Source organism: Homo sapiens, chromosome 8 (genome assembly GCF_000001405.40).
Source record: "Homo sapiens chromosome 8, GRCh38.p14 Primary Assembly".
In the NCBI taxonomy this organism is placed as follows: Eukaryota; Metazoa; Chordata; class Mammalia; order Primates; family Hominidae; genus Homo; species Homo sapiens.
The window spans coordinates 42,864,599-42,879,903 of record NC_000008.11 but is presented as its reverse complement, the minus strand read 5'-3'; the positions used below and the strand labels follow the sequence as shown (position 1 = coordinate 42,879,903).

The following is a 15,305-nucleotide window of genomic DNA, read 5'->3' as shown; positions in this document are numbered from 1 at the left end:
CAGGAGTTTGAGACCAGCCTGGCCAACGTGGCGAAACCTTGTCTCTACTAAAAATACAAACATTAGCCAGGCACGGTGGCACACACCTGTAATCCCAGCAACTTGGGAGGCTGAGGCACGAGAATTGCTTGAACCTGGGAGACAGAGGTTCCGGCAAGCCAAGAGTGTAGCACTATACTCCCAGCCTGGGCAACAGGGTGAGACTCTGTCTCAAAAAAAAAAAAAGTTATTTTATTCTTTATTTATTGCTTTTGAGATGGAGTCTCACTGTGTTGCCCAGGCTGGAGTGCAGTAGCATGATCTTGGCTCACTGCAACCACCGCCCCCCGGGTTCATGCTGTTCTCCTGCCTCAGCCTCCCAAGTAACTGGGACTACAGGCACGTGCCACCGTGCTTGGCTAATTTTTGTATTTTTAGTAGAGACAGGGTTTCACTGTGTTGGCCAGGCTGGTCGCAAACTCCTGACCTCATGATCTGCCCATCTCAGCCTCCCAAAGTGTTGGGATTACAGGCGTGAGCCACCACACCTGGCCAAAAAAAAGAATGTTCTGATGGCATCTAGAATGGGGGATCCTTTCCAGAAGGTTTCAATTGATTCCCCAGATCCATCAGAGGAATCACTATCTATGGCAGCTACATAAAGTGTATTTCTTAAGTAATAAAACTTGAAAGTCAAAATAATCCTTGATTTATGGGGCTGTGGAATGGATGCTGTGTTAAGAGACATGAAAAAAACATTCATCTCCTTGTACATCTCCATTAGAGCTCGTGGGTGACTAGGTGTATTATCAATGAGCAGTGATATTTTCTTTTTAACAGATTTTTTTGTTAATACACTACACAGATGTATGCAGTAATATTTTCAAAGAAAGTCATTTTTCTGAGCAGTAGGTCTCTCAAGTGGGTTTAAATAGTTTGATATGCTGTTATCCAGGCATTGTTGTTGCATTTATAGAGCACAGGCAGAGTAGATGAGCATAATTTTCAAGGGCCCTAGGATTTTCAGAATGGTCAATGAGCATTGGCTGCAACTTAAAAGTCACCAGTTGCATTAGCCCCTAATAAGAGAGTCAGCCTGGCCTTTGAAGCTTTGAAGACAGGCATTGACTTCTCCTCTCTAGCTATGAAAGTCCTATATGCCATCTTCTTGCAAGGGAAAACTGTTTCTTCTACATAAAAATGTGTTGTTGAGCGTAGCCACCTTCATCAATGATCTTAGCTAGATCTGGATAACTTGCTGCAGCTTCTCCATCAGCACTTGCTATTCCATAAAATAAAAGTTTGCACTTTGTCTTTCCTTAAATGTCATGAACCAACCTCTGCTAGCTTTCAACTTTTCTTCTGTAGCTTCCTCTCCTCCCTCAGCTTCACAAAATTGAAGAGAGGGAGGGACTTGCTCTGAATTAGGCTTTGGCTTAAGGAAATGTTGTGGCTGGTTTGATCTTCTATCCAGAGTACTCAGACTTTCTCCATGTCAGCAATAAAGCTGTTTTGCTTTTTTATCATTTATGTGTTCACTTGAGTAATACTTTTAATGTCCCTCAGGAATTTTTCCTTTTAATTCACAACTTGGCCAGCTAGCACAACTTTTGCCCTAGCTCGACTTTTTACATGTCTTTTTCACAAAGCTTAATCATTTCTAGGTTTTATGTGAAGTGAGAGACATGCAAGTCTTCCTTTCACTTGAACACCTAGAGGCCACTATAGAGTTATTTATTAGTTGGCCTAATTTCAATATTGTCAATGCCTCAGGGAATAGGAAGGTCTGAGGAGAGGGAGAGAGACTGGGGAATGGCTGGTCAATAGAGCAGTCACAGCATACACAACGTTGATTGATTGATTGATTGATTGATTGATTGATTGCAAGTATAACCAAAAGACGACACAGAAACATGAAGCAAGTGCATGCTGTTGGAAAAATGGTGCCAATAGTCTTGCTCAACACAAAGTTGTCACAACCTTCAGTTTGTAAAAAACGCAATATCTGCTAAGTGCAATAAAGTGAAACAAAATAAAATCAGGATTTCCTGTATATGATTTGCCAATATTTTGTCCCTTTCTGTGGATATTCTTCTTACTCTCTTAAGTGCCCTTTGATATACATAGTTTCTGATTTTGAGAAGTCATCTTTGTGTTTTTTTCCTTTTTTTGGCCTGTGCTTTTGTCTTATATGTAAGGAATCATTGCCAGAATCCAATGGCATGAATATTTTCTTGCTTCTTCCTAAAATTTGTATAGTTTTAACTCTTAAGTTTGGCCCTTTGATGCATTTTGAGTTTTTATATTTTTAATATGGATATTCAGTTTTCTGGCACTTATTTGTTGAAAGAGGGTACTTTCCCTATTGAATGGTCTTGGCACCCTTGTCAAAAAGTATTTGACCATTGTCTCAATCAGTTTGGCTTGTTATAACAAATAACCATAGGCTGGGTGCGGTGGCTCACACCTGTAATCCTAGCACTTTGGGAGCCTGAGGCAGGCAGATCACTTGAGGTCAGGAGTTCAAGACCAGCCTGGCCAAAACATGGGCCAACATGGTGAAACCCCAACTCTACTAAAAATATAAAAATTAGCTGGAAATCGCTTGAACCCGGGAGGTGGAAGTTGCAGGGAGCCAAGATTGTGCCACTGCACCCCAGCCTGGAAACAGAGTGAGATCTGTCTCAAAAACAAAAACAGGCCAGGCGCAGTGGCTCACGCCTGTAATCCCAGCACTTTGGGAGGCCGAGGCAGGCGGATCACGAGGTCAGGAGATCGAGACCATCCTGGCTAACACAGTGAAACCCCGTCTCTACTAAAAATAGAAAAAATTAGCCGGGCTACTCGGGAGGCTGAGACAGGAGAATGGCATGAACCCGGGAGACGGAGCTTACAGTGAGCTGAGATGGCGCCACTGCACCCCAGCCTGGACGACAGAACAAGACTCTGTCTCAAAAAAAAAAAAAAAAAGTCCGGGCACAGTGGCTCACGCCTGTAATCCCAGCATTTTGGGAGTCCAAGGCGGGCAGATCATGAGGTCAGGAGATTGAGACCATCCTGGCTAACACAGTAAAACCCTGTCTCTAGTAAAAATACAAAAATTAGGGTGTGGTGGCGTGCAGCTATAGTCCCAGCTACTTGGGAGGCTGAGGCAGGAGAATCACTAGAACCCAGGAGGCAGAGGTTGCATTGAGCTGAGTTTGTACCATGGCACTCCAGCCTTGGCGAAAGAGCAAGACTCTGTCTCAAAAAAAAAAAAAAAAAAAACCCACAAAAAAACAAATAACCATAGACTGGGTGGCTTAAACAATAAACATTTATTTCTCACAGTTCGAGAGGCTGGGAGGTCTTAAGATCAAGGTGTTGTCAGATCTGGTGTCTAGCGAGAATTGGCTTCATGGTTTGTAGATGGTGGTTTTCTTGTTGTGTCTTTACATGGAAGAGAGTAGAGCAGGGAGCAGGTTATCTCATGTCTCTTTTTATAAGGGCACTAATCCTATCACAAGGGCACCACCCTCATGACCTAATTACCTCCCAAAGGTTTTGTCTCCAAATACCATTATTATGGGAGTTACAGGCAGTATTCAGCAGCTTGGGCTATTTGTTCTTGTTGTTTGGCTTCACAACAAGATGTAGGAATTCTTAAATCTGGTGGTAGAATATTTTTTAAAATATATTCTATTTAAATATATTTTTAAAATATATATTAAATATTCTACCACCAGATTTAAGAATTCCTACATCTTCTTTCTTATAGAAAGAAGCCAGAGGAGAGGCTTTCCAGTCACGTGGTTCATGTCTGTATTCTGAAATGTCATCACGATTTTTTTTCCAATGAAAAGGGAATGGTTTTCTACTCTCAAAGAATGGAGAAATGCCATTTAGCTAGGTATTCACTGGTATTTAAATGAGATGGTTCCTCTGCTAGTTAGATTGCTCCTTGACAGGGTGCTTTCATATAGTGAGTGCTTTCTTTCACAGATCATCTGTTCAATCATAAAAATGTGCCTTATTTTAAAATGAAGAATGCATCAAGCTTTAACAGGTTTAGGCCGGGTGCGGTGGCTCACGCCAGTAATCTCCACACTTTGGGAGGCCGTGGCAGGCAGATCACCTGAGGTCCGGATCGAGACCAGCCTGGCCAACATGGTGAAACCCCATCTCTACTAAAAATACAAAAATTAGCCAGGCATGGTGGCACGTGCCCATAATCCCAGCTACTCAGGAGGCTGAGGCAAGAGGATTGCTTGAACCTGGGAGGCAAAGGTTACAGTGAGTTGAGATTGTGCCACCGCACTCCAGCCTGGGTGACAGAGTGAGACTCCTTCTCAACAACAAAATAAGATTTAACAGGTTTAAACAGAGTTCAAATTGTTTCATTGTTTAGATATTTGACTTTAAATTGCTTTTATGTCTTCTCTGAACTAACAGTTATATTTAGGTGACTTCTTTTTCTAAAATTTGTGTTTTTTTGCTAACAATTGAATAATCACAGGATGGATTTCTATACTTTTCCCTATCACATTCGGATATGAGAGTCCTTATGTCTGTTGGATATTGGCTTACCCAGAGAGTAAAGGCTCTCTGTAGAGTAACCATGGGACTGTGTAGACTTAAAATATTCTTGTTCAAGACATTTATGTTTAGAAGATACATCAGTAGTCAAATGAAATTAAGCTGTGATAACATGTAACGCTTCACCCCCACCCCACCTACCAGCCTGACCAACACATCTTTCTTTTTTTTTTTTTTTTTAAGACGGTTTTGCTCTTGTTGCCCAGGCTGGAGTGCAATGGCGTGATCTCAGATCACCGCAACCTCCACCTCCGGGGTTTAAGCGATTCTTCTGCCTCAGCCTTCTGAGTAGCTGGGATTACAGGCATTCGCCACTAAGCCCGGCTAATTTTATATTTTTAATAGAGACAGGGTTTCTCCATGTTGGTCAGGCTGGTCTCGAACTCCCAACCTCAGGTGATCCACCGGCCTCGGCCTCCCAAAGTGCTGGGATTACAGGCATGAGCCACCGTGCCCAGCCAACATCTGACTTTCAATATGGGATGTTTTATCCCATCCATTTATATTAGCCACTAACCGCTTGCCTTTGATTCACCATTTTAATTGTTAATGTCAAGAGATTAGTGACATGTTAAGGTTTGGCTTTTCTTCCTTTTGTTTTTTTTTGAGATGGAGTCTCACTGTTGTTGGCCCAGGCTGGAGTGCAATGGCATGATCTCAGCTTACTACAACCTCTGCTTCCCGGGTTCCAGCAATTCTCCTGCCTCAGCCTCCTGAGTAGCTGAGATTACAGGCGCCCGCCACCAAGCCCGGCTAATTTTTGTATTTTTAGTAAAGGCAGGGTTTCACCATGTTGGCCAGGCTGGTCTCAAAACTCCTGACCTCAGGTGATCCACCCGCCTTGGCCTCCGAAAGTGCTGGGATTACAGGCATGAGCCACCACACTCGGCCAAGTTTTGGCTTTTCTACATTAAATTTAGTTTCTGCTCTGTTCCCCTCCCCTAATACCTGAAAATTAGGAGAAGGATCTAATTAGATGTGGAAAAGCGTTCAAATGCATAATAGTAGGTAAAATTAGATAGCTGCTTATTTTGAAGAAATTTCACCAAAGAAACAAATGTTCTTTACATTACTTGTAAGCTTCCATTTACAATAGATTTCCAAGGTACTAGGCCTCTGGATTTTACCATTTGCCGCTTGAACCTGAAATTGGCTAATGATCAGTGATCTCAGAAGAACTCACCACAGGACAGCCTGAAACGTACAGTCCTGGAAGTGAAGTGCTTGTATGCCATCAATTACATTAATTACCAGTAGTTATAAGTCAGAAAGTAGACCCATGAAGAAAATGGATTCATATGATAATATTTTCTATTCAAAATTTATTATATTCTATTCAACAGAAATGTACATCAAAACATTCACCCAGAAAACCAGGAGCTAGTAAGGGTACTTCGAGAACAGCTTCAAACAGAACAGGTATTGTATATGTATTTATTTGAGGAGTAGATGTGATAGCTCCCTTTGCATGTGAAATTGTGATAAAACATTACTAAATTACTTTTTGGAAACATGGGCTTCTTTCCAGCTTCAAATTACCTTATATTATTTTATAGATTGTATATTTGCAAGAATGGGCAAATTGCCTAGCCTTAATCTATTCAGATGTCTTCATGTTTGTTTATTATTAATTTGCTTTAAAAGATAGCAGTTTTCCTATTATTTATTAGTGTAGAAATAATTGCTGTCTAATTGACCTTAATGAAATGTAGTAGAAAAAACATTTTTTCTGACATATACTCCTTAATATCTACAAAGAAATAACTAGAAGAGGTGGCTGTTTTGTTTTTTGTTTTTTTTTCTCCTTTTTTCTTCAGTTGTCAAAGTTATAACAACAAAACTAGTTAGGCAAAGAGAAAAACTAACTTTTCTCCTGTTTGTTCTTTGCTTTTTACCAGATCGAATCTCTAAGAATTGGAGATATACTTTATGAAGCCTGGAATAAATAGGATATTGTACACCTTCAGGCTAAGATATCTAACATCAAGAAACAAAATTAAAAATTCCTTTCCTATAGATCAAACTTCAGTTCCAATAAGCGTTTTTTTTTTTTTTTGTAAAAAAGAGACAGGGTCTCACTATGTTGCCCCGGCTGCTGTCCAACTTTTGAGCTCAAGCAGTCCTCTCACCTCGGCCTCACAAATTGCTGGGATTAGTCTGGGCATGGTGGCTCACACCTGTAATCCCAGCACTTTGGGAGGCCGAGGCGGGAGAATCACTTGAGCTTAGGAGTTCGAGACCAGTTTGGGCAACATGACAAAACTCTGTCTCTACTAAAAATACAAAAGCTAGCTGGGTATGGTGGTGCACAGCTATAGTCCCAGCTACTCAGGAGGCTGAAGTGGGAGGATCTCTCGAGCCTGGGAGGTTGAGGCTACAGTGAGCTGTGCTTGCTTCACTAAAACCAAAGTGCTGGGATTATAAGTGTGAGCCCACCATGCCTAGCCCCAATAAGGGTTTTATAATTTATCCATTCACCAGATATTTTTTGAACATCTACCACATGCCATACATTTTCTAGGCATTGGGAATTCAATTGTGAATTAAACAGACAAAAATTCCTACCCTCATGGAACTTATATTTATTGATACAAGAATAACTTAAGCGGGGCCAGGTGCAGTGGCTCACGCCTGTAATCCCAGCACTTTGAGAGGCCAAGGCAAGCAGATCACGAGGTCAAGAGATCAAGACCATCCTGGCCAATATGGTAAAACCCCATCTCTACTAAAAATACAAAAATTGGCCGGGCATGGTGGCGCACACCTGTTGTCCCAGCTACTTGGGAGGCTGAGGCAGGAGAATCACTTGAACCCGGGAGGCGGAGGTTGTAGTGAGCTGAGATTGCGCCACTGCACTCCAGCCTGGTGACAGAGAGTGAGACTCCGTCTAAAAAAGACAGAATAGTTTAAGCCTATTAGTAGTACTGTGTTCCATAACAATTGTTACCCATAATTCATGTTGAGATAGTGTTTTATAATTTACAAAGTGATTTCCCAAACAACAATTGTATTTAATCTTTAGACATAAGTAAGGCAACTACTATTATTCTCATTAACATATGAGACTGCTAAGATTTGCTAACACTCACACTAGCAATTTCATGACTGGGTTCAGCTATGGAGGGGCCCCAGATTGAGGAGAATCTTCCAGGTCTCCTTGCAGCAGTGTCCACTCAACTGCCTCACCTCTTCCTGAGGCCCAGCACACAGCTCTCAGAGTGAAAATAAGGCTGGCGATGTAGTCTGTTCTGTGCTGTCCAGTATGGCAGCTACCAGCCACCTGTGGCTATTCAAGTGAGTTAAAATTAAACACAATCTGAAATTAAGTCTTTTAGTCACACTGGCCACATTTCAAGTACACAATGGCCACATGTGGCTCCTGGCTACTGTATTGGATAGCACTGATAAAGATTTCAATTATTGCAGAAAGTTCTGTTGGACAGCACCGTTAATTGTTTTTTGTCAATTTCTTTAAAAATTAATAAGGAGAAGGCTGGGTGCAGTGGCTCACGCCTGTAATCCCAGCACTTTGGGAGGCTGAGGCGGGCAGATCACCTGAGGTCAGGAGCTCAAGACCACCCTGGGCAACATGGCGAAACCCCATCTCTACTAAAAACACAACTTTAGCCAGGTGCTTGTAATCCCAGCTACTCCAGAGGCTGAAGCAGGAGAATCACTTGAACCCAGGAGGCAGAGGTTTCAGTGAGCTGAGATTGTGCCACTGCACTCCAGCCTGGGTGACAGAGCGAGACTCTGTCTCAAAAAAAAAAAAAAGTAGAGAAGGGAACATAAAGTGCTGTACACTTTTTGTAGCATTAGAACTGACATAAGTGACTATAACATCAAGGTGTAGCCTTGGATCACAGAATATTCTGGTGATTTAGGACTGTTTTGGAAGTATGAAATTTTAGTTATATTTATTATTATTTAAATTTATTAAATTTGTTTATGAATATTGAGTGGCAAAAATCTGATTCACTTAAGAACAGTTCCTATTTAGTAAACTTAATACTTTTTTCTGTAATTAGATATTTTTCATGCTAGCAACTTTATCTGTGCTGGGTTCCATTAAAACAAGTTTTGATAAATAAGTTTTACAATACAATAACATAAAATATATGTTATGTAGACACTTTTTTTTTTTGAGACAGGGTCTCTGTTGCCCAGGCAGGAGTATAGCGGTGTGATCTCGGCTCATTGCAGTCTTTACCTCTTGAGTTCAAGTGATTCTCCCACCTCACCCTCCCGAGTAGCTGGGACTACAGGTGTGCGCCACCATGCCCAGCTAATTTTTGTATTTTGTGGTAGAGACAGGGTTTCACCATGTTGACCAGGCTGGTCTCGAACTCCTGACCTCAAGTGATCCACCCACCTCAGCCACCCAAAGTGCTGGGGTTACAGGTGTGAGCCACCGTGCCCGGCCATGTAGACACTTTTCTAGGTCCTGAGGTACAATGAGTCCTACAGATAAATCCCTTGCCCTCATGATCCATCCTAGTGAGGTCTTTGATATCTAGATGTTTCTTGCATATGTGCAACACTTTTAAAATGAAAAAGATGTTGAAAATGAAAAAAGTGAAGACTTAGAAAACAGTTTGACATTTGATATTTTTTTCTTTTTGAGACAGGGTCTCGCTCTGTCACCTAGGCTGGAGTGCAGTGGTGCAGTCACGGCTCACTCCAGCTTCAACCTCCCAGGCTCAGGTGACCTCCCACCTCAGTCTCCCAAGTAGCTGGGACTACAGGCGCATGCCACCACCACTCCTGGCTAATTTTTCTATTTTTTGTAGAGATGGGGTTTTGCCATGTTGCCCAGGCTCGTCTGGAACTCCTAGGCTCAAGTGATCCACTTGCCTCGGCCTCCCAAAGTGCTGGGATTACAGGCGTGAGTCACTGCACCTGACCTCGACATTTATTATTGTTAGCTTATGCACTAGCTCAGCCTTGTGTTACTCAGAATAATTTACTTATTCCAGTAGAGTAAAAGATGAACTCTTGAGTTAATCTAAGTTTTTGTCTTTAAATTGTGTTTAGGAAGGAAAGTGGAAACCATGCAGCTTAAATAAAAACAATATAGCCTCATAACATTCTTAAAATTATAACCTTAAACTATTGCACGTTTACAGTTTGATGAGGGTTACACACTGCTGACTCTGTTCTCAAATATAATTTAACATGAGATACTGTTGAGGGCCACATGTGTTGTGTTCCAATGTGTGCACCTGTGTTCTTATTAGGATGCACCTGCTGCCACTCGACAGCAGTTCTACACTGACATGTACTGTCCCATCTGCCTGCACCAAGCCTCCTTCCCGGTGGAGACCAACTGTGGACATCTTTTTTGTGGTAAGCAAACAACGCTATACTTGGGAAAAGTGACTGTGTAGACCAAGACCTCTATGTGTACAAAGGCTGGATTCCCAATTTTCTCTTTGTCACATTTTGTATTTTGTGAGTAGGGTAGATTACCTCTGATATCCTGCTCTACTTGTCAACCAAGTATACTTAGCATCTAAATAATATACTTACTTATTTATTTTCTATTTAGTGTGTCCATGTAGCAGCTATGGGTTCAGAGGTTAAAGAAACTATTCAGCTTCCCCATAAACAGAAATGTGTTTGTTTGGACAGTAGTTCAAGTAGATCCATAGCATGAGGGATTCACTGAGTCCCTCTTTGTTCATCACTTTTTGGGACTTTCATTTATTATTCATCCTTGCCAGGGCAGGAAGGTTCTTCTCTCAAGAACCTGCCCAAGACCCTGCCTTAGTCCTCCTGCCTCTTTTGACTCTGAGTTTGTACTAAAAGTCTTAAAGGTCTTAGTCTCAGTCTGTTTGTCTCTGTCTCTGTCTCTCTCAACCTCTTGAGGTTTAATGAAGGAGAATGAGAATCCTAGAGCATACCTTGGGGTAAGAAGGGAATAATTTCACACTTACTTAGTATCAGGAAGGAGTGCTTTCCACCACTTATTTTTCCTGAATCTGCAGATTCAGGAAAATCTTCTATGGCTTCTTACGCCATAGAAGATTGAGGGGCAAAGTATCAGTTATTACATGCCTATGTATTGGACATTAATGTACTTCATCTAACCCCACCTATGAGGAAACAGGCTTTAGAGATGTGAAGAAATTTTACAAAGAGGCCAGGCGCTGTGGCTCACGCCTGTAATCTCAGCACTTTGGGAGGCTAAGGCAGGAGGATTGCTTGAGCCCAGGAGTTGGAGGCCAGCCTGGGCAACATAAGGAGACCCTGTCTCCACAAAAAATAAGAAATTAGCCAGGCGCAATAGCTCACATGTGCAATCCCAGCTACTGGGGAGGCTGAGGAAGGAGAATCGCTTGAGCCCAGGAGCTTGAGCCTGCAATGAACTGTGATCATGCTACTGCACTCCAGCATGGGCAGCAGAGCAAGATCCTGTCTCACAAATAATAATAATACATTTTACAAAGAGTAGCCCAGTTGTTAAGTGACAGAGCCAATTTTTTTTTTTTTTTTTTTGAAATGCAGTCTCGCCTTGTCGCCCAGACTGGAGTGCAATGGTGCGATCTCTGCTCACTGCAACCTCTGCCTCCCAGGTTCAAACGATTCTCCTGCCTCAGTCTCCCAAGCAGCTAGGATTACAGGCGCCTGCCACCATGCCCAGCTAATTTTTGTATTTTTGTAGAGATGGGGTTTCACCATGTTGGCCAGACTGGTCTCGAACTCCTGACATCGTGATCCACCCACCTCAGCCTCCCAAAGTGCTGGGATCACAGATGTGAGCCACTGCACCCAGCCCAGACAGAGCCAAGTTTTTAAACCGAGGTTTATCTTCAATCCCTGTGCTCAGTTCTGCATGATTAGTGGTTCATACAATAGTAAACACTCGAAGCCACTTCGATTTGTCCAATCACTAGACCTAGTTTTTTATTGTTTCTTTCTGTTTAAACAGTTGTGTTTGAGATAGGGTATTATTGCTCCCAAAATGTAGGAAATTTTCATATAGGGACTAATTTAACATGTAGCATATAATCGTCCTGTAAATTGTGTTGGCCCTTTTGTCTAACTTCATAGTATAGAATTATTAGATACAGTGTTATTTGTGCAGTTGGAGATGGCATATTTGGAACCCATACCATGTAATGGCAGGGTTTCCTGTACCTTGTGCTCTTTCAGTAATCCAATCTCATCATTGCTTCATCTACTCATTCCAGTCTCTTCTTTAAGGTTTTCACTTAAGTAGCTAACAAAGTATAAAATGCTTATTTCAGTTTTTATCTTTTAATTTTCTATTGGAAATGCTAATCACCAGGAAAGTTATGAAAGATTGGGCAGGGAAAATTAAACGGGCATCATAGAAGGCAGATACGTTTCTCCTCTTGAACCTAATCCACGTGACACTCCTTTCCGACATTTGCCCTTGCTGTTCTTAAAACCTGAAGTGTCCTCCCTCTTGTTTTCTGCCTATCTAAATCTCATCTTTCCTATGAAGTTCAGTTCAAATCCTTTCTTTTCTACAAGTTAGTTTCTAATGCATACTTCTCTGCACTCCTTTTTTGTATTTCTTTTTCTTTTTTTTTTTTTTTTTTTTTTTTGAGATGGAGTCTTGCTCTGTCGCCCAGGCTGGAGTGCAGTGGCATGATCTCGGCTCACTGCAAGCTCCGCCTCCCGGGTTCACACCATTCTCCTGCCTCAGCCTCCTGAGTAGCTGGAACTATAGGCGCCTGCCACCACACCTGGCTAATTTTTTGTATTTTTTAGGAGAAATGGGGTTTCACCATGTTAGCCATGATGGTCTTGATCTCCTGACCTCGTGATCCACCCGCCTTGGCCTCCTAAAGTGCTGGGATTACAGGTGTGAGCCACCGCGCCCGGCCTTTTTTTTTTTTTTTTTTTTTTGAGACGGAGTTTTGCTCTTATTGCCCAGGCTGGAGTGCAGTGGCGCAATCTTGGCTCACTGCAACCTCCACCTCCCAGGTTCAAGCAATTCTCCTGCATCAACCTCCCAAGTAGCTGGGATTACAGGCATGCACCACCAAGCCTGGCTAATTTTGTATTTTTAGTAGTGACAGGGTTTCTCCATGTTGGTCAGGCTGGTCTCGAACTCCCAACCTCAGGTGATCCGCCTGCCTCAGCCTCCCAAAGTGCTGGGATTACAGGCGTGAGCCACTGTGCCAGGCCCTTTTTTGTATTTCAAGTTAATATTACACAGTTGAAGATTTGCCTTCTACATTGATTTGAGTATGTCATCTTGGTCTCCTCAATTGGATTGCCATTGCTTGTCCTGCATTCTGAACACTTATTTGATCTGGAGGAATAAGGAACACATGAGGGCTAAGCCAGGTTGCTGAGGCAAGAGCAAGAATACACAGAGGTTCGTGGAGGGAGAAGGGACACCTAGTTCAGCACTTAACACTTAGTTCAGATTCACAGTGGGACCTGGATAGTTGAAGATGCAGGTGTCCTACAAAAAAGAAAGTGGATTGGCCCCTTAAATCCCAGACAGTATTCAAAACTATTCCTTCACCTCTTATTGGCCTGAAGTTTGGTGCTTATACACTTGGCACACCCGTGCCTTCTTGAGGTCGCCAGACTCTTCCTTTAGGCTGTGTTGCCCATCTTCGGCTGGCTTGCTGCTCATGAATACCTTCAAGCAGAAAAATCCAATCCATCTAGTGCAAGAGTTGATTCAATTCTTGAACTGGATTCTAAACTTCATTAGGGCAGAGCATATAATCTTTTTGTGTCTTTTGATTCCTTGCTTGTACTAGTTTTTTTTTTTTTTTCTGAGACGGAGTCTCGCACTGTCAGCCGGCTATAGTGCAGTGGCATAATCTCAGCTCACTGCAACCTCCGCCTCCCAGATTGAAGCGATTCTCCTTGCCTCAGCCTCCCAAGTAGCTGGGATCTCCTTGCCTCAGCCTCCCAAGTAGCTCCCAAGTAGCCTCCCAAGTAGCACCCACCACCACCCCCGGCTAATTTTTTTGTATTTTTGTAGAGATGGGGTTTTACTATGTTGGCCAGGCTGGTCTCGAACTCCTGACCTCGTGATCCACCCGCCTCAGCCACCCATAGTGCTGGGATTACAGGTGTGAGCCACCGCGCCTGGCCACTTGTACTAATACCTTATTACTATTAGTTAATACATTGATAATTTGGTTTTCTAAACTCTTCTAAAAGTTGTGTTTTGTAACATATCAAATTTAGAACAGAAAATTTATGCTCTGATTTGTTGGTTGTTATATTTACAATGATGTTTAATTATTGTTTTATTTATATCACATAGGAAATATAATGTTTTGTATGAAGCTTCATAGTATTAAGGCAGTTAATATATACTTGCTTTTGATTGTGTACAACTGTAGCTTAACTTGGAGGTTTTTTTTGAGACAGAGTCTTGCTTTGTTGCCCAGGCTGGAGTGCAGTGACATGATCTCAGCTCATTGCAACCTCCACCTCCCGGGTTCAAGTGATTTTCCTGCCTCAGCCTCCCAAGTAGCTGGGATTACAGGCGTGTGCCACCGCACCCGGCTAATTTTTGTATTTTTTAGTAGAGACGGGGTTTCACCATATTGGCCACCCTGGTCTCAAACTCCTGATCTCAAGTGATCCACCCAGCTTGGCTTCCCAAAGTGCTGGGATAACAGACGTGAGCCACTGTGCCCGGCCTTAACTTGGAATTTAAATAAAAAAATTTTTAATGGCTAGGAGTTCTTACTAGATTTGAATTTGCCTGAAGGGTTGGCTGGATGAAGTAAAAGGTATTTTTAAATAACGTGGTACTGTTAAAATATTTCAAATAGTTGAATCTTTCTGAGGATATGTGGACTTTAAAACATCAATATTAATGGGTTATGTGTTTGTTTTGTTTTGTCTATTAGGTGCCTGCATTATTGCTTACTGGCGATATGGTTCATGGCTTGGGGCAATCAGTTGTCCAATCTGTAGACAAACGGTAATGTTTTGTGTGCAGAAAGTATCATTTATGCTAGTTTATTTTGTACATTTTTATAGTTTTTGTATCTACATTTGGAATTATTATTGTCTTTTTAGCAGAACTTCATTTATCCAAATCTTCTTTGATGTCACCATATATTATTATTATTATTTTTATTTTTTTTTATTTTTTTTGAAAAAAGGTCTTGCAGTGCAGTGGCATGATCGTAGCTTCCTGCAGCCTCGACCTCCTGGGCCCAAGCAATCCTTCCACCTTAGCCTCCTGAGTAGCTGGGACTATAGGCATGTGCCACCATGCCTGGCTAATTTTTTTATTTTTAGTAAAGATGAGGTCTCCCTGCATTGCCCAGGCTGGTCTGAAACTCCTGAACGCAAGCAATCCTCCTGCCTCAGCCTCCAAAGGTGCTGGGATTACAGGCATGAGATACCACGCCCAGCCCACGATTTTTTTTTTTTTTAAACTGTACCCGGCCCACGATTATTTTTTTAAAACTGTCACTGAGATACCACTACAAAAGGGAATCCTATTTGAAATCCTACAGTTGTAGTGAAAGACAATCAGGCTTGAGCATATATCCTCTATATATGCATATATACTTGTTTTGAAAAAAAATTTTTTTCCTTCTCAATGTATATTTAATCTGTCTTTTTCCAGTGAGGACCCAGATAGCTTTAAATGGTATATAATGATTTTTTTTTTTAATGTTTCATTCCTTTTAGAGACATGGCCACATTGCATTGTCCAGAACAGCTTAGACCATGACAGTTAGCATCGAAGCCACCTGAGGAGGGAGGCAGTAAGTAAGCATGAACGT

General features: G+C 41.9%; 1 protein-coding gene across 21 annotated transcripts in view; it reads left to right on the top strand.

Annotated features, from left to right (window-relative positions):
• The window catches only part of RNF170 (ring finger protein 170), a 47,663-nt gene that overhangs the window by 17,396 nt on the left and 14,962 nt on the right, over positions 1-15,305 (top strand). For 9 of the 21 annotated variants that reach the window (NM_001160224.2, XM_011544666.4, XM_047422279.1 and 6 more), the window contains 3 exons: positions 5,898-5,973; positions 9,792-9,900; positions 14,415-14,488. In NM_001160224.2, coding sequence (NP_001153696.1) covers positions 5,898-5,973; positions 9,792-9,900; positions 14,415-14,488 — 259 coding nt within the window. Of the gene's footprint in view, positions 1-5,897; positions 5,974-9,791; positions 9,901-14,414; positions 14,489-15,210; positions 15,292-15,305 lie in introns of those variants that run through there. The other 12 variants (NR_027669.2, NR_027668.2, XM_047422285.1 and 9 more) reach the window with 5 other exon arrangements.